The sequence below is a fragment of the Homo sapiens genome, chromosome 12, assembly GCF_000001405.40.
Source record: "Homo sapiens chromosome 12, GRCh38.p14 Primary Assembly".
Classification (NCBI taxonomy): Eukaryota; Metazoa; Chordata; class Mammalia; order Primates; family Hominidae; genus Homo; species Homo sapiens.
The window spans coordinates 19,319,188-19,337,704 of record NC_000012.12 but is presented as its reverse complement, the minus strand read 5'-3'; the positions used below and the strand labels follow the sequence as shown (position 1 = coordinate 19,337,704).

At 38.8% G+C, this 18,517-nt stretch overlaps 1 protein-coding gene across 72 annotated transcripts in view; it reads right to left on the bottom strand.

Annotated features, from left to right (window-relative positions):
• Window positions 1-18,517, bottom strand: part of PLEKHA5 (pleckstrin homology domain containing A5) — a 246,668-nt gene that overhangs the window by 38,696 nt on the left and 189,455 nt on the right. For 48 of the 72 annotated variants that reach the window (NR_169818.1, NR_169816.1, NR_169819.1 and 45 more), the window contains 4 exons: window positions 17,081-17,143; window positions 15,315-15,395; window positions 15,038-15,187; window positions 1,089-1,190 (listed from right to left, as the gene is read on the bottom strand). Coding sequence is in view for 66 of the 72 variants with exons in the window: in NM_001385924.1 (NP_001372853.1) it covers window positions 1,089-1,190; window positions 15,038-15,187; window positions 15,315-15,395; window positions 17,081-17,143 (396 nt within the window). In the remaining 6 variants the exon portion in view is untranslated. Of the gene's footprint in view, window positions 1-1,088; window positions 1,191-15,037; window positions 15,188-15,314; window positions 15,396-17,080; window positions 17,144-17,648; window positions 17,685-18,517 lie in introns of all 72 variants that reach the window. The other 24 variants (NR_169820.1, NM_001256470.2, NM_001385926.1 and 21 more) reach the window with 5 other exon arrangements.

Genomic DNA, 18,517 nt, shown 5'->3' with positions numbered 1-18,517 from the left:
TTAAGTCCATGCATTTCCAACTAAAATGTTCAAATTTACATTGGGTCATAAGCGTGACGTAACTTTTATTATTTTCTTAAACATGTATTATCTGCGTTCCTCAGAGCAACATTTTAAGACAAGTATTATTATTTCTTTTTTTTTTTTTTTTTTTTTGAGATAGAGTCTCGCTCTGTCGCTCAGGCTGGAGTACAGTGGTGCGATCTCAGCTCACTGCAACCTCCACCTCGTGGGTTCAAGTGATTCTCCTGCCTCAGCCTCCCAAGTAGCTGGGATTACAGATGCCTGCCACTACACCTAATTTTTGTATTTATAGTAGAGACAGGGTTTCGCCATGTTGGCCAGGCTGGTCTCAAACTCCTGACCTCAGGTGATCTACCCACTTCAGCCTCCGAAAGTGCTGGGACTATAGGCGTGAGCCACTATGCCCGGCCAAGTATTATTATTTCTATTTTATAGATAAGAAAACTAACCCTTGGAACTAGGTCTCAGATCTGTTTGCTTATTAACTGGATTCTTTATAGCAAATGGTGCTGTATCTTCCCCTATTCTAATAAGGCTTGGTGGTGCATGCCTGTGATCCCAGCTACTCGGGAGGCTGAGGCAGGAGAATCGCTTGAACCCGGGAGGCAGAGGTTGCGGTGAGCCAAGATCGCGCCATTGCACTCCAGCCTGGGCAACAAGAGCAAAACTCTGTCTCAAAAAAAAAAAAAAAAAAAAAGATAAAAGATAAAATATTCATTATTTGATAAATCCATATAATTCAACATCTCAATACCAAGTGACACAGATGGACCTGTGAAAGGATATGAAACCATGTTTTTAGGAAACTGTAGAGCTGAGACTGATAGGAGCACAGAACACTCCAGGGCTCACCATGTGCCCAACAGAACAAAGAACTCTTAAACAAGAGGGGATGGTCTCCTTTGTGAGATAGTAAGATTCCTGTCATTAAAAGTATTCAAATCCAGGTCTCAGGTAGCCAATAATGTAAAAACTGTTATGGGTATGCGTAAATCTAACAAGGTGGATTGTACAGTACCAGTAAAAACAGTTAAAACAATATAAAGAATATTATACTTTTGTACCTGAACTTCACCAAGGTGATCCAGCTGCTCTTGCATCTGGTTCCTGGTAACAGTTACATCGTATTCTAACTTATCATATTCTCTCCATGCTCGTTCCAATTCCTAAAACCAAAAAGTGTTAATTACTTTAATGGGGAAAATGTGCTTTTATGGTGTTATCACTCCAATTGTAACTTTCTAGATTTTAGAAAGTCATATAGTTTATACTTAGCAAAACAGGAATTTTTATAACCATTTTTGTCCCTTTTTAAAACTCAATTCAACAAAAATTTACTAAGCAACCTAAGTATTATTGTGCTGCTGTTTATTTCCTAAAATGTAGAAGAGGCATAAATAAAGCATTTTCTTATCTGTCTTCATTAAAAGTTCTCCATGAATGGAAATAGTTTGTATTTTAGCATATTGGAATTTCAATAACATCAGAGGCTTGACATGACTTTACTTACAATAAGCTTATAGTAATACAATAAAACAAATGAATTTAGCTAGCTATTTAAACAATTCAGTGAATCCTGTTTGTGAGGACTCAATATAGACACTATTATCCATCTGTACTTTTCTCCTTTGGAAAAAAAATCACCCCCAAACCAATAATATCACAGAGAAGATTTTGATGTTTGGTCTTTAACAGCTTGTCATTTGTTGAATATAGAATAATTCTAGAGGTGCTTAAAAATACATCATCTGCCAGACGCAGTGGCTCACATCTGTAATCTCAGCACTTTGGGAGGCTGACGGGGGCAGATCACTTGAGCTCAGCAGTTTGAGACCACCCTGGCCAACATGGTGAAACCCTGTCTCTACTGAAAACACAAAAATTAGCTGGGCCCGATGACTTGTGCCTGTGGTCCTAGCTACTTGGAAGCCTGTGGAGGGAGAATCGCTTGAACCTAGGAAGCAGAGGTTGCAGTGAGCCGAGATTGCGCCTCAGGAGGCTGAGGCAGGCAGATCACGAGGTCAGGAGTTTGAAACTACCTGACCAACGTAACCAAACCCTGTCTCTACTAAAAATACAAAAAAAAAAAAAAAAAAAATTAGCCAGGCGCAGTGGCAGGCGCCTGTAATCCCAGCTGCTTAGGAGGCTGAGGCAGGAGAATCGCTTGAACCTGGGAGGCGGAGGTTGCAGTGAGCCGAGATTGCACCATTGCACTCCACCCTGGGTGACAGTGCGAGACTCCGACTCAAAAAAAAAAATAAATAAAGTAAAAGAAAAAAAATAAAGAGCTATCTTATTTTGTATATTCTGTAACTAACTTAAAATAACTTTAGAAAATTTAGGTGATTGGCTGGGTGTGGTGGTTCTCGCCTATAATCCCAGCACTTTAGGAGGCTGAGGCAGGTGGATCACTTGAGCCCAGGAGCTCGAGACCAGCCTGGGCAACATAGAGAGACCCCATCTCTACGAAAAAATACAAAAATTCTCTGGGTGCGGTGGCGCTTGCCTGTGGTCCCAGCTACTCGGGGCAGGGCTGAGGTGGGAGGATTGCTTGAGCCCAGAGGCGGAGGTTGCAGTGAGCCAAAATTGTGCTACTGCACTCCAGCCTGGGTGACAGATGACCATGTCTCCAAAAAGAAAAAAAAAAAAACAAAAAACTGAAGCTATCTTGCCAGTCTTTTTTTTTTTTTTTTTTTTCATAAAAAAAAAATCTTAGGTGAAGAAAAATTATTCAAAATGTACTGGGAAAACAGATGTGTGCCATCACCCCTATGCCCGGCTAATATTTTGTGTGTGTGTGCGTATACAGAGATATATATATATATATATATATATATATATATATATATATTTTTTTTTTTTGTGAAGACAGGATTTTGCCATGTTGCCCAGGTTGCTCTCTAACTGCTGGTCTCAAGTGATTCCACCAGCCTTGGCCTCTCATAGTGCTGAGATTACAGGTGTGAGCCACCACATCTAGTCAGCAAATTCTTTTTACATGAATAAATATGAAAATTAATTTCCTTTAACAAAAATTAATTCTAGCCATGGTTTAATTTGTGTGCACCACAAAAACTGCAAATAGTGGGTCTTTGATGGCTTTAGGGAGAGTAAATTAAGACAACAGATCCAATGACAGCCCAGTGGCTAAGAGGGTATTACAGGCTAACACCTAAGCTCCCTTGTGGAAATGCAGAGTTCAGGGTAGGCTTAACTGCACTGCAGAGGCATTTAAGTATAAGAACATTTCAGGATGGTAGGAATCCTTCTCTTTCTTAAAGAAACATTAAAAATACAGATTGAGAGCTAGACATTCCTTTATCAGTATTTTAGAAGTGAAGAGGCACAGTATACTTTCAATTTTCCTAACCTGGAGAGTCCTGCCACTGAACTGGCCCAAGTCCTGTAATCCTGCTAGGCCTACCTGTTTCTGTCTTTACTTCAGCTCCTCAAACATGATTACCAGGTGGGTAGGAACACAAGACAACAGAGGACAGCGAGGAAAGGACAGCAATGGCACAACACATTTCCTCCCAACATCTGGCTGGGTATTTCATTAAAGAATTTACTAGATTATATGAGTACCATGCTAATAATCTTTAAATATGACCTTACGTATTTGTGGTCAAGAAGCTAATATAGCAAGATAATTTACAAGGGCTAATACTTTTCAAATATACAATTACCTTAAAATCTCAAGTACTTGCCACAAAATAGTGCTTTCAATAAAAAGTAGAGAATGCCAGGCTATACAGTTAAAAGAATAAATGAAGGCCAGGTGCGGTGGCTCACGCCTGTAATCTCAGCACTCTGGGAGGCTGAGGCAGGGGGATCACGAGGTCAGGAGTTTAAGACCAGCCTGGTCAACATAGTGAAACCCTGTCTCTACTAAAAATACAAAAAAATTATCTGGGCTTGGTGGTGGGTGCCTGTAGTCCCAGCTACTTGGGAGGCCGAGACAGGAGAATTGCTTGAACCTGGGGGGTGGAGGTTGCAGTGAGCCGAGATGGTGTCACTGCACTCCAGCTCGGGCGACAGTGCGAGACTCCATCTCAAAAAAAAAAAAAAAAGAGAATGAATGAACTCTTTTTTGAGATGGAGCCTTATGCTGTTGCCTAGGCTGGAGTGCAGTGGCATGACCTTGGCTCACTGCAACCTCTGCCTCCCGGGTTCAAGTGATTCTTCTGCATCGACCTCCCGAGTAGCTGGGATACTTGGGACTACAGGTGCGCACCACCACGCTTGGATAATTTTTTTTTATTTTTAGTAGAGACGTGGTTTCATCGTGTTAGCCAGGATGGTCTTAATCTCCTGACCTCATGATCCGCCTGCCTCAGCCTCCCAAAGTGCTGGGATTACACCCATGAGCCACCCGCGGCTGGCCTTCTTTTTTTTGAGATGGAGTTTCACTCTTGTTGCCCAGGCTGGAGTGTAACGGTGCGATCTCAGCTCATCGCAACCTCTGCCTCCTGGGTTCAAGCGATTCGCCTGCCTCAGGCTCCCGAGTAGTTGGGATTACAGGCATGCGCCACCATGTCCGGCTAATTTTTGTATTTTTAGTAGAGACGGGGTTTCTCCATGTTGGTCAGGCTGGTCTTGAACTCCTGACCTCAGGTGATCTGCCCGCCTGAATGGATTCTTTCAATCTGGAACTATATGGATGAACCTCGTAAGTTAAAGGAAGCCAGGCAAAGAGTATATGGTTACACTTCACATAAAGTTCAAGACTGAGTGCAGTGGCTCATGCCTGTAATCCCAGCAGTTTAGGAGGCCGAGATGGACGGATCGCTTGAGCCCAGGAATCTGAGACCAGCCTGGGCAACATGGTGAAATCCCATCTCTGCAAAGTATACAGAAATTAGGTATGGTGGCGCATGTCTGTAGTCCCAGCTACTTGGGAGGCTGAGGTGAGAGGATCGCTTGAGCGAGGTGCAGGTTGCAGTGAGCTGAGATTGTGCCATTGTACTCCAGCCTGTGTAAGAGACTTTGTCTCCAAAAAACAAGTTCAAAAATAGGCAAAACTCACCTATAGTTTAAATGTCAGGTGCTAGGCTATAGCTACTCAGGAGACTGGGCAGGGGGAGGATCACTTGAGGCTAAGAGTTGGAGGCTGTGGTGTGCTATGACTGCACCTGTGAATAGCCACTGCACTCCCATCTGGGCAATGTAGCAATACCCTGTCTCTAAAACAATTTTAAAAAGTTAAAGGAAAAGAAAGAAGAAAAAAGTCTGGCAGTGTTCCTTTTGGGAGAGGAGCTTCTGGTATGCTAGTAAAATTCAATGTCTTGATATAGATATTGGCTAAACTCCTAAACTGTGTGCTTTTCTGAGAACATGTTATATTCCAAGAAAAGAAAAAAATAGTGTGCATGTTGGGCAGGAGGAGGGATTGCTGCAGAGTTTTCTAGAGACAGGGTTTTGCTCTGCTGCCCAGGCTAGAAGGCAGTGGCATGATCATAATTCACTGCAGCCTTGAACTCCTGGGCTCAAGCGATCCTCCTGCCTCAGTCTCCCAAGTAGCTAGGACTACAGGTTTGCACCACCATGTCCAGATAATTTTTTAATTTGGGGTTTCACCATGTTGCTCAGGCTGGTCTTGAACTCCTGGGCTCAAGCAATCTTTCCAAAGAACTGGGATTACAGGTGTGAGCCTCTGTGCCAGGCCAGACTTTTCTTACTCTGTCACCTGGGCTGGAGTGCAGTGGTGTGATCTCAGCTCACTGCAGCCTCAACTCCCCAGGCTCAAGCAATCCTCCCACCTTGGCCTCCTGAGTAGTACAGGTGCACACCACCATGCTGGGGCATTGTTTTTTAATCTTCTGTAAACTTGAGGTCTCACTATGTTGTCCAGGCTGGTCCTGAACTCCTAGGCTAAAGCAATTCTCCTGCCTCAGCCTCCCAAAGTGCTGGGATTACACATAGGAGCCAGCAGGCCCGGCCAAGATTTTTTTTAAAAAAATTGTCTAAGTTTAGGGTATGGAACAAGTAAATTTTAATAGTGCTTACTTCTATGTAGTCTGTACTGAGACAAGACTTGGCCACTGTGCGGGGGAGAAAGTGAAGCAGGAATGTAATGAAATTCCAGATTTCCAAAAAAATCAGTTAAGGATTTTAATATTTAGCTAGACGGCTATATAGCAGATATATACTATGTCCTTTATTAAGAAAGGATTAATGGCCGGGCATGGTGGCTTACGCCTGTAATCCCAGCAGTTTGGGAGGCTGAGGTGGGAGAAATCTCCTGAGCTCAGGAACTCAAGACCAGCCTGGGCAACATAGGGAGATCTCATCTCTACAAAAAAATTCTATTTAAAAAAAAATCAAAACCAATGATGCATTTCCAAGTTTTTAATATGAGGAAAACTTTCCTTTTCTTATCTAAAATCAATGGCAATTTACAACAAAATCTACTCAAGGGAATGGTTACACAATACACTAGACACAAATCTCAAATTGTTTTCTCTGTATTTTGCTGTCACATTGCCTCTTTTTAAAATAATCAAGTAAATATTGTAAGACTACAGGTGGCTATAGTTTAAAAAAAAGCAAATAATTACTATTATTCTTAGAGCTAATAAACTGTTTTACTTCTGGTTTGCTTCTCAATTAGGGTTTCTAAGTTTTAATTTAAGAAATGTCAATTCATTTTTCTGCTTTTCATTAAAAAATAAAACCTACAACTTTGGAAAAGTATTGACATAGGTTTTTAATATCAAAATGAGGGAGAGGCAATAGATGTAGTGTAATTATTCATTAACTTCCTAATTTAAACTCAAACATCTCTTTCCAAATTTAAGTAATATTACAAATTAATGCCCACCACTATATCTTGGAAAATCAAAGCCTTATGATATTTAAATTAATTTTACTGGTATATTTCGAGGATCAGGCAAAAAAATTAAAATGTTAATTTTTGGTCACTAATACTCCACCATAACAGTCCTGCCAACTGGTATTAGAAGCAGTTGATTTTTCAGGTCAATCAAAAGAAACTTATGTCTGATTTATTCATTTTTTCATTTTACCTTCAGGATGTAGAGATTTCCTGGCTCACATTTGAAGAATGTGCTTAATTATTTAAGGAGTTTTTTAAAAAATAATTTTTTTTTACGAATTTATACTTGTCATGTAACTGCTTCTCAAATAAAATCACTACTTATTAAGCACATGGCATGCCTCATTACACTATCTAATGACTACACTGGCTTTTTTTAACCTAAAAAGATGTTTACGTTTTATTATTATTTTTTCACTTAGCCTCGACTTGAAACACACTAAAAAAGATGTTTAAAAGGGCACCAACTCAAACTGTATAAAGTGAGGCTCAACTATCAGCCACAATTATAAAGCTATCCATATTTTAAATTTCTAGTTTATGACCACAATTGTAGTCATTCTATGTTTTAGCTATTTGTAATTGTTAACTCCCATGTTTAGTTTCTTCTCTAATGTTTTCAATGAAACAAAACTAACTTCTCATCTCAAAGAAAGTGCTTGCTTTTTATTGTTAAAAATTCTAGATATAATAAAAATAGAAAGGCTAGCACACAGGGGAAGATTTAAATAAATAACTATTACTGCGCCACACTTCTGTTGGCTTTTTTGTGGATTTTCTTTTGTTTTGTTTTTTGAAACAGGGTCTCACTTTGTTGTCCGGGACCTCTCTGGGCTCAGGTCATCCTGCTGCCTCAGCCTCCTGAGTAGTTGGCACTCCAGGCACACGCCACTGCGCTCGGCTAGTTTTTTTTGTTTTTTGCTTTTTTTTTTGTAGAGATGGAGTTTCACCATATTGCTTAGGTTGGTCCCAAACTCCTGGGCTCAAGTAATCTGCCTACCTCAGCCTCCCAAAGTGCTAGGATTACAAGTATGAGCCACCACACCAGCCTGGGGAAATCAAAAGTTGGTTCTTTGAAAACAAAAACAAGATTGACAGACTGTTAGCTAGAATAATAAAGAAAAAAAGAAGATCCAAATAAGCACAATGAGAAGCAACAAAGATGACATTACAATGGATCCCACAGACATACAAAGGATTCTTAGAGACAATTACGAACACCACTATGCACACAAACTAGAAAATCTAGATGAAATAGATAAATTCCTGGAAATATACAATCTCCCAAGATTGAATCAGGAAGAAACTGAAACACTTAACAGACCAATATTGAGTTCTGAAATTGAATCTGTAATAAAAAACCTGCCAAACAAAAAAAGGCACGGATCAGATGGATTCACAGCCGATTTCTACCAGACATACAAAGAGCTGGTATTAATTCTACTGAAACTATTCCAAAAAAATAAGGAGGAGGGTCTCCTCTTTAACTCATTCTATGAAGCCAACATCACCCTCATACCAAAACTTGGTAAAGACACAAAGAAGAAAGAAAACAAAGGCCAATATCCCTGATGAACATAGATGCAAAAATCCTCAACAAGATACAAGCAAGCCAAATTCAGTGGCATATCAAAAAGTTAATTCACCATGATAAAATAGGCTTCATTTCTAAGATGCAAGATTGGTTCAACATATACAAATCACAAATGTGAGTCACCACATAAACAGAATAAAAAACAAAAAACATATGATCATCTCAGTAGACATGGAAAAGGCTTTTGATAAAATCTAGCATCTCTTCATGATAAAAACCCTTACGAAATAAATCCATATTGAAGGAATATGCCCTAAAATAGTAAAGGCCATCTATGACAAATATACAGCCAACATCATACTGAGATGGGCAAAAACTGGCAGCATTTCCCTTGAGAACTGGAAAAAGACAAGGATGCCCACTCTCACCACTCCTATTCAACATAGTACTGGAAGTCCTAGTCAGAGCAATCAGGCAAGAGGAAGAAATAAAATGCATCCAAATAGGAAAAGAAGTCAAATTACCTCTCTTCACGGACAATGTGACCTATACCTAGAAAACCCTAAAGACCCTATCAAAAGGCTCCTACAACTGATAAATGACTTCAGGAAAGTTTCAGGACACAAAATCAATGTACAAAAATCACTGGCATTTCTATACACCAATAATGTTCAAGCTGAGAGCCAAATCAAGAATGCAATTCCATTTACAATACACACACACACACACACACACACACACACACACACACACTCCTAGGAAAGCATCTAACCAAGGAGGTGAAAGATGTCTATAGGAAGAACTACAAAACACTGTTGAAAGAAATCATAGATGACACAAACCAATGGAAAAACATTCCATGTTCATGGATTAGAAGAATCAATATTGTTAAAATGGTCATACTGCCCAAAGCAATCTACAGATTCAATGTCATTTCTATCAAACTACCATCATTTTTCACAGAACTAGAAAACAAATTCTTAAATTCATATTGAACCAAGAGTCCAAACAGATAAAGCAATCCTAAACAAAAACAAAGCCAGAGGCATTACACTACCTGACTTCAAACTATACTATAAGGCTACAGACTAAAACTTCATGGTACTAGTACAAAAACAGACGCAGACCAAGGGAACAGAATATAAAACCCAGCAGTTAAGCCATACACCTATGGCCATCTGATATTTGATCAAATTGACAAAAATAAGCAATGTGGAAAGGGCTTCTTATTCAATAAATGGTGCTGGAATAGCTGGCTAGCCATATGCAGAAGAATGAAACTGACCCGTTACTTTCACCATATACAAAAATTAACTCAAGGTGGATTAAAGATTTAAGTGTCAGGCCTCAAACTATAAGAATCCTTTAGCCAGGCATGGTGGCTCACGCCTGTAATCCCAGTATTATGGGAGACCAAAGTGGGCAGATCACATGAGGCTTGGAGTTCAAGACCAGCCTGGCCAACATGGTGAAACCCTGTCTCTACTAAAAATACAAAAAGTAGCCAGGCTTGGTAGCGGGCATTTACAATCCCAGCTACTTGGGAGGCTGAGGCACAAGAACTGCTTGAACTTGGAAGGTGGAGGTTGCAGTGAGCAAAGATCGCGCCACTGCACTCTAGCCTGGGCAACAGAGTGAGTCTCTGTCTCAGAAAAAAAAAAAAAAAAGAAAAAAGAAAAAAGTAATAGCAACAAAAACAAAAACTGACAAGTGGGAGCTAATTAAAGAGCTTCTGTAAAGCAAAAGAAACTATCAATGGAGTAAACAGCCTACAGAATGAGAGAAAATACTCGCAAACTACCCATCCGACAAAGGTTGAATATCCAGAATCTATAAGGAGCTTAAGCAATTGAACGAGGAAAAAACAAAACAAATAACCCTTTTAAAAAATGGGCAAAAGACATGAACAGACACTTAAAGGAAGACATACAAGTGGCCAATAAGCATATAAAAAAATGCTCCATATCACTAATCATCAGAGAAATACAAATTAAAATCACAATGAGATACCATCTCACATTCATCAGAATGGCTACTATTAAAAAGTAAAAAAAAAAAAAAAAACAAAAACAGATGCTGGCAAGACTGCAGAGAAAAGGAAATGCTTATACACAGTGAGTGGAGATATAAATTAGTTCAGCCACTATGGACAGCAGTTTGGAGATTTCTCAAAGAACTTAAATCAGAACTACCATTTGACCAAGCAATTGCATTGACTGGGTATATATCCAAAAGTATATCCAAAAGAAAGCAAATCTTTCTACCAAACATACACATGCACTTGCATGTTCACCACAGAACTATTTACAATAGCAAAGACATGGAACCAACCTAGATGCCCATCAATGGTGGACTGGATAAAGAAAATGTGGTACATATATACCACGGTACTACACAACCATAACAAAGAATGAAATCATGTCCTTTGCAGCATCATGGATGCAGCCATAGGCCATTATCCTAAGTAAATTAATGCAGGAAAAGAAAACCAAATACCGTATGTTCTCACTTACAGGTGGAAGCTAAACACTGGTACTCGTGGACATAAAGATGGTAACAGTGAAACTGGGGACTACTGTGGGTGGGGAAAGAATGGAAGATAAAGGTTGAAATCGAGTACTATGCTAGGTACCTGGGTGATGGGCTCATTCATACTCCAAACCTCAGCATCACACAATAGACCCAGTTAACAAACCTACACATGTACCCCCAAACCTAAAATAAAATAAAAATAAATAAAAAGTATAGGGAACACTGCTTTACATGCTTCCCTTGTGCTAATCCTAGTTTTGTGTACTTTTGTGGCCTACCAGGTGAGGAGAAGATGTTTTCAGAATCACAGCTTTGATCTACAGAGGTGCTAATGTTATACCCCTTATGCTTGGGGCTTAGATTTGAACTAGTGCTATGAACTGACTGTGAAAGATTCAGTGAAATCCTTTGAGATTCTGCCAGCAAAAATGTAATTCAAATTTAAATCTAATCAACATTCACTGAGTGCCAACCATATGCCCAGTATGATGTTATGCACATGCTAACATTTGCAGCCTTAAGCTACAAATATAAATAAGTTTACATAAAGGCACAAATAACATAGTTTGTATTCTATGCAATAAGACTTGTCTTAGAAGAATATATTCTGAGGGTTTGTCATAACCACTGATTATTGTTGAAGGCAAGGAAAAAGAAACCAGGAAAGTGATTACATAAGACAAAAACCAGAAAAAGGGATACTCAAACAAGATCAAATTTTATTTTATTCTATTTTATTTATTTTATTTTATTTTATTTATTTTATTTTTTTGAGACAGAGTTTCACTCTTGTTGCCCAGGCCGGAGTGCAATGGCGTGATCTCGGCTTACCGCAACCTCAGCCTCCCGGGTTCAAGCGATTCTCCTGTCTCAGCCTCCTGAGTAGCTGGGATTACAGGCATGCGCCACCATGCCTGGCTAATTTTGTATTTTTAGTAGAGGTGGGGTTTCTCCATGTTGGTCAGGCTGGTTTGAACTCCTGGCCGCAGGTGATCTGCCTGCCTTGGCCTCCCAAAGTGCTAAGATTACAGGCTTGAGCCACCGCACCTGCCTGGCCTATTTTCTATTTATTATTACTATTTTTTTTTTTTTGAGACAGAGTCTCGCTCTGTCGCCCAGGCTGGAGTGCAATGGCACGATCTCGGCTCACTGCAACCACCGCCTCCCGGGTTCAAGCAATTCTCCTGCCTCAGCCTCCTGAGTAGCTGGGATTACAGGCATCTGCCCCCACACCTGGCTAATTTTTGTATTTTTATTAGAGGCGGGGTTTCACCGTGTCAGCCAGTCTGGTCTCGAACTCCTGACCTTGTGATCCGCCCGTCTCGGCCTCCCAAAGTGCTGGGATTACAGGCGTGAGCCACCATGCCTGGCCTTCTATTATTAACGATTTTGTTTTAGAGACAGTGTATCACTCTATCACCCAGGCTGGAGTGCAGTGGCACAATCACACAACCTTGACCTCCTGGGCTCAAGAGATCCTCCCACCTCAGTCTCCTAAGTAGCTAGGATCACAGGTGTACACCACCATGCCCAGCTACTTTTTTGTTTCTTGTAGAGATAGGGTCTCCCTAAATTGCCCAGTTTGGTCTCAAACTCCTGGGCCCAAGCAATCCTCCTGCCTCAGCCTTCCAAAGTACTGAGATTACAGGCGTGAGCCAGCACTCCTGGCAAAATTCATTTCTATTAAGATATTTTTAACAAATTTCCCATCTGGGCTAAAGTTAACCTTGAGATGCAGCAAATTCTAAACCTACTGATGAGATTTAATTTATTAATCCCAGTTGATAAGGAAAGGGATTCCCTAAAATCGGAATTTCAAGAGCAGATACCAAATCATTAAATAGTTTCCAACTAAATGTCTGTAGAGCCTACCATTTTGATTTGACTCAAGTTGTCACAGAGACCCTGAGCTTCTCATTAGCTTGGCATTGACAGTTTAACCCCATTTTCCCTTTCTAATCTCACATTTTCTATCCTCTCACAGGAATCCTCTATCCCAGTCAGGCTGTTAGTTCTATTTCCTCCTTTTCCAAACATGTCTCCTATGTTCTCATCTTTGCTGTGGCTTAGGGTGTTTTGTATTATTTGAATAAACCACTCTTCACTTCTCTTCTCATTGTATCCAAATCCTACCTATCCTTGATTAGCTCAGTACTACTTCCTTGTAGACAGTATTTCAGGTGCTTATATTTTCTTTATGACTATATTACAGAAATCCATGTAGATCTAAATCTTCAGAAATGTGGTAAGAAGATCTGGATTTGAGTTTTAGGTATATTATTTATTAGCTTTGTAACCTTGGGTAAGTCATTCAGCTCAATCATTCATCCAATGTGAATGAGACATAGTTTCTTATTTCAAGATACTCACAATGGAAAGGATATTAAATTTCAAAAAAGTCTACAAACATGACAATATAATTAAGACTCAAATGAGACAACAGAAATAACAGTATTTTAAAAATGGAAATAGAAATGTAAGGTATTTAAGAATTCCTCAAACTAAGTTTTCAGTGATTTTAAAATCATGGTATATTCCTTTAAAAATGGCTCACGTTTGGAATTCAGGGTTCAGAATAGAAGCCAAGTTGAGATTCTGGGATCTTGCCAGCCTGGAAAGACTCCTCTAAATTAAGCTATACTGTCTGTGGCCCTTCTTAAAAGATAGCTGCTCCCTAGCCCATTGAAGGTACAGACAAGGGTTTGGGAGCAGTTTTATATAACATGGCAGTTTTTCCTAAGATTTCTCTTTCAAAGAGCTGCTTAGACTGGTGCTCTTACTATGTTTATAGAGATGACCACATCATAGGACCTAAAGCCAGCTGTTTAAACTCATAAAACAGTTTATAAGCTGCAAGTTAAGACTTTTAGATTTGGTAATTCCAAGAGACTCACAGTCATAGTTATATGACTATGAGTTACACGGTTCTGTTACGTACATTTCTTTCTTTTTTTTTTTTTTTTTGAAACAGAGTCTCACTCTGTTGCCCAGGCTGGAGTGCAATGGCATGATCTTGGCTCACTGCAACCTCTGCCTCCTAGGTTCAAGCAATTCTCGTGCCTCAGCCTCCCAAGTAGCTAGGATTACAGGCACCTGCCACCACACCCAGCTAATTTTTGTATTTTGGTAGAGACGAGGTTTCACCATGTTGGCCAGGCTAGTCTCAAACTCCTGACCTCAAGTGATCCACCTGCCTCGGCCTCCCAAAGTCCTGGGATTACGGTGTCAGCCACCGCACCCAGCCTTGCTATTTATATTTCTATTGATTGATTGATTGAGACAGAGTTTCAGTCTTGTTGCCCAGGCTGGAACGTAATGGCGCGATCTCAGCTCACTGCAACCTCTGCCTCCCGGGCTCAGATGATTCTCCTGCCTCATTACAGGTGCATGCCACCACACCTGGCTAATTTTGTATTTTTAGTAGAGATGGGTTTTCACCATGCTGGTCAGGCTGGTCTTGAACTCCTGACTTCAGGTGATCCACCCACCTTGGCCTCCCAAAGTGCTAGTATTACAGGAGTGAGCCACCACATCCAGACTACTTATTTTCTTAATGCAATAAACAGGAGTACTCATCTCCCCTGTAAAACACTCATTTCACAAAGGACAAAATGTTTGGCTGGGTGTGGTGGCTTACACCTGTAATCGCAGCACTTTGGCAGGCCAAGCCAGGAGAATCACTTGAGACCAGGAGTTTGAGACCAGTCTGGGCAACATAGTGAGGCCCCATTTCTATGAAAAAAAAAAAAAAAAAAAAAAAAAATCTAGCCAGGTGTAGTAGTGCCAGCCTGTAGTCCCAGCTACTTGGGAGGCTGAAGCACTCACTTGAGTCCAAGAGATTCAGGCTACAAGTGAGTTATAGTCAAAATACTGTACTCCAGCCTGGGTGACAGAGTGAGACCTTGTCTCATAAGTAAATAACAGAATGCCCACTAATTAAATAATCTTTTAATTTTATGTTCCTAAACAGAAGCACACTAATAACAAATTAATATTTTCTGCTATAATAATATAGAAGAATCCTAAAGAGAGCCCAGTATTAAAAAAAAGAGAAGAAAATAGAACTACATATTTAAGCTACTTTTATTAGGGGAAAAAAAAAATCTACTTACGGCAGTGGCTCGAGAAAGTTCTCGACACGTACTAAGCAGTCCATTTTGTAAATCATCCCTTTGTAACACCACTGTCTGAATGGCTGCTGGGTTATCTGCATGCATTTCTATCTCTTGGCTGGCTGATAGCAAAGCTTGCTCAAGCGTGTACTATTATGATAAAAAGAATTACACTTAATGTTCTGCATCATTGTATTAATTCTTTTTACTTATCAGTGTCCTGATAATAATCATATTAAGTAACATCAATTGTAGACAATAAACATAATTGTCCTACTTTCTCCTTGTGGAGTTGCTGAAGTTTCTCTTCCAGAGCATGCACCACTTTATCTTGTTCACATAATCGGCTTAACTTGGCCTAGGTTATAAGAGAAGATGTCTTGTTAGCAATTTTTTATTTTTTCTGTAATTGGAGGTAGGCAGTCATTATATGACCAAAAATCTATATTTCAATCAATAAAAGTTAAAATATAGCTTACAAAGATAGAATCCTTAAAAAATAGGCATGCAAGCATTTTGCCTCTACAATCTGCTAAATAGGTTAAGTGATAATATGCAGTCCTTAATTAAAATGCTTACTGGATTCTATTGTTATATGTTTAAAAAACACACTCTTAGATTCTTAGAAAATAATATAAACAATAGATCACTTCTAATTGAAATACAAATAAAAATATTATTAATGGAGAAAAATAACTTTCATCAGGGTTTTAGTGTTTAAATTCTTAATATTACCCTAATTTCTTAATTATGAAAGTACAAGAAAGTATTCTAATAAAATTTCAATAGTACAATAAACCAGTTTTAATGTTTCAAAATGAAAACACTGGACAAATTGGAAATATGTCCCCAACTTTATGGCATAATGACACATAAGCAAGAAATTTGAGACTTTACTTTCTTTGCCATTTATCTATTAAAATAACTACCTTATCTTTGTCAGACAACAAGACTCAGCCTACACAAAATGAAAGGTGTTAAAAAGAAAAAGTAGGGGGCTGGGCTCGGTGGCTCACCCCCGTATCTCTGCACTTTGGGAGGCCAAGGTGGGTGGATGACCTGAGGTCAGGAGGTCGAGACCAGCCTGGCTAACATGGCAAAACCCTGTCTACTAAAAAAAAAAAAAAATACAAAAAGTTAGCTGGGCATGGTGGCATGCTCCCGTGATCCCAGCTATTTGGGTGTCTGAGGCATAAGAATCACTTGAACCCGGGAGGTGGAGGTTGCAGTGAGTTGAGATCATGACACTGCACTCCAACCCGGGTGACAGAGAGAGACCCTGACTCAAAAAAAAAAAAAAAAAAAAAGAAAAGAAAAGAAAAGAAAAGAAAAGGGGGTATAATGAGTGAAGAATGTATGGCAAATCAGCAATCTAAAATATGATTTAAAAGAAACTAAATTTAAAAAGGAGTAGTGATAAAATTTCTAAAGGCCGAACTTTATCTGAAAAACACAGCAATTCGTCTCCAGTCTCTAGTCTTCCATAACTTTTTTTTTTTTTTGAGGCAGGGTCTCACGCCATAACCCAGGCTAGAGTGCAGTGGAATGATCTTGGCTCACTGCACCTGTCCCTCCTGGGTTCAAGAGATTCTCAGGCCTCAGACTCCCGAGTAGCTGGGATTACAAGCGTGTACCACCATGCCCAGCTAATTTTTGTATTTTTAGTAGAGACAGGGTCTTGCTATGTTGCCCAGGCTGGTCTCAAACTCCTGGCCTCAACTGATCCGCCCGCCTCGGCTTCCCAAAGTGCTGGGATTAAAGGTGTGGGCCACCGTGTCCAGCCAATCTGTAACTTCTAAAAATCAGAAACAGTTTTTACTTTCATTTAAGTGATGCTTAATAACGTTGGACTGCTAACAATAGGGAGCAGTGGGACGTAGAGGGCAGGGAATAATAATTTAGAGCACACACATAAAATATGAATTTACCTGATGTCACTTTGGAGGACTTGGGAGAAAGAAGTTTTTTGGTCATGCTTATTTCCAGTGTTTTTGGCGGAGAATACGACAGAGTACTGACCACATATATCATACTAATACTTACATCAATATCTACTTCTTCAGGTCTGTATTTGTATAATGTGCCTCTACCTTCATCTTGTGACAGCTATAAGAAAAAAATCATATAGCAACTTAAAAAATCTTATTTAAAAATATATTTACCCTATTAATTAATACTTTGGATTTATATTAAATATATATAACATAACAAAAATAGATTTTAATGATTCTTACACTTTTAGAAGTTTAATTCAAACACTGATCAACAAAGTAGAAAATACTTAACAGTGATATAATATGCAAGATACATACGAACGATGTATGTAACAAGCTTGTTAAACATAATAATATGCTGGTCAAACAAAACTAATACAGTATCTTACATCATTTCTTTTAAAGACACACATTATTTTAATAAAAAAACTGACAAATACAATCGTAGCAACTGTGTCAAATCAAATACTTAAATTAAGCATAGTTCAACAGCCAAAACCATCCTTCACGGTATATACATAAACACACACTGTGTATGTGTACACTCAAATGTCAACACATCTTAACAAAACCTATAACATATTGTATACATATATATAATATATAAACACACATACACAATATAGACTTATCTTGCTCTTCTGTCTTAAGAACTAAAAGATAATGAAGGAAAAGGATGGGTTTAATTGAAAAGAGGAAAATCATTCGAAATCTTATAAAACTGAAAGCCTATGTTATAAACTATGGATAGTCAAATTTCATAAAAAGTTTATGTGTGTTAGTTGACTCCATTTATGTTACTATATTGTAAGGAATTATTCAGTGTACTTAAATATCCTTTCTTCAGCTTCTGCCCAGTACATTTTGGTTAAAAGATATTTTGGTTACTTCTGATTGTGCTTAGCAAGATTTCAATAGCCATCCCAGTCAGTTATACCACAGATAACATCACAGCCTCTGCAGGCAATACTTCACTATTTTTCTTGTCTTTTGATTTTTATATTGACTGTGAGAAAATAACAAAAACACAGTAGAAAAAATTTAAATGGGGCTCATTGCATGTTTACTAAATGGCACAATGTTTTCAAGGTGGGGTTAGAAGTAATGTGTCCCAATTACATTCCAGTTTAAAAAATTAAATTTCATATACGCATAATACATAAGAATGTATAAATGACAATTCTATATGTTTTCTCTATGAAAGAAACTGCTTGACAGTTACAGCTTTAAAAGGAAGCATCATTTAAACAGGAGATAACTTTGAATTGATCTAGAAATGTGGGAATCAGGAGAAGGTTAAAAATATAAGCATTCCAAACATACAATAAATCCTGGATTTATATTTCATTTCAAGACATTACTTTCACATACCTCATGCAAATGAATCTGTGACTATTTAAGGGTATGCAGTGATTGTTAAACCACAAAACTTTCATAGGAATGAATATTACATGAAAAATGAATTTAATGACAAAAGTTAGAATAC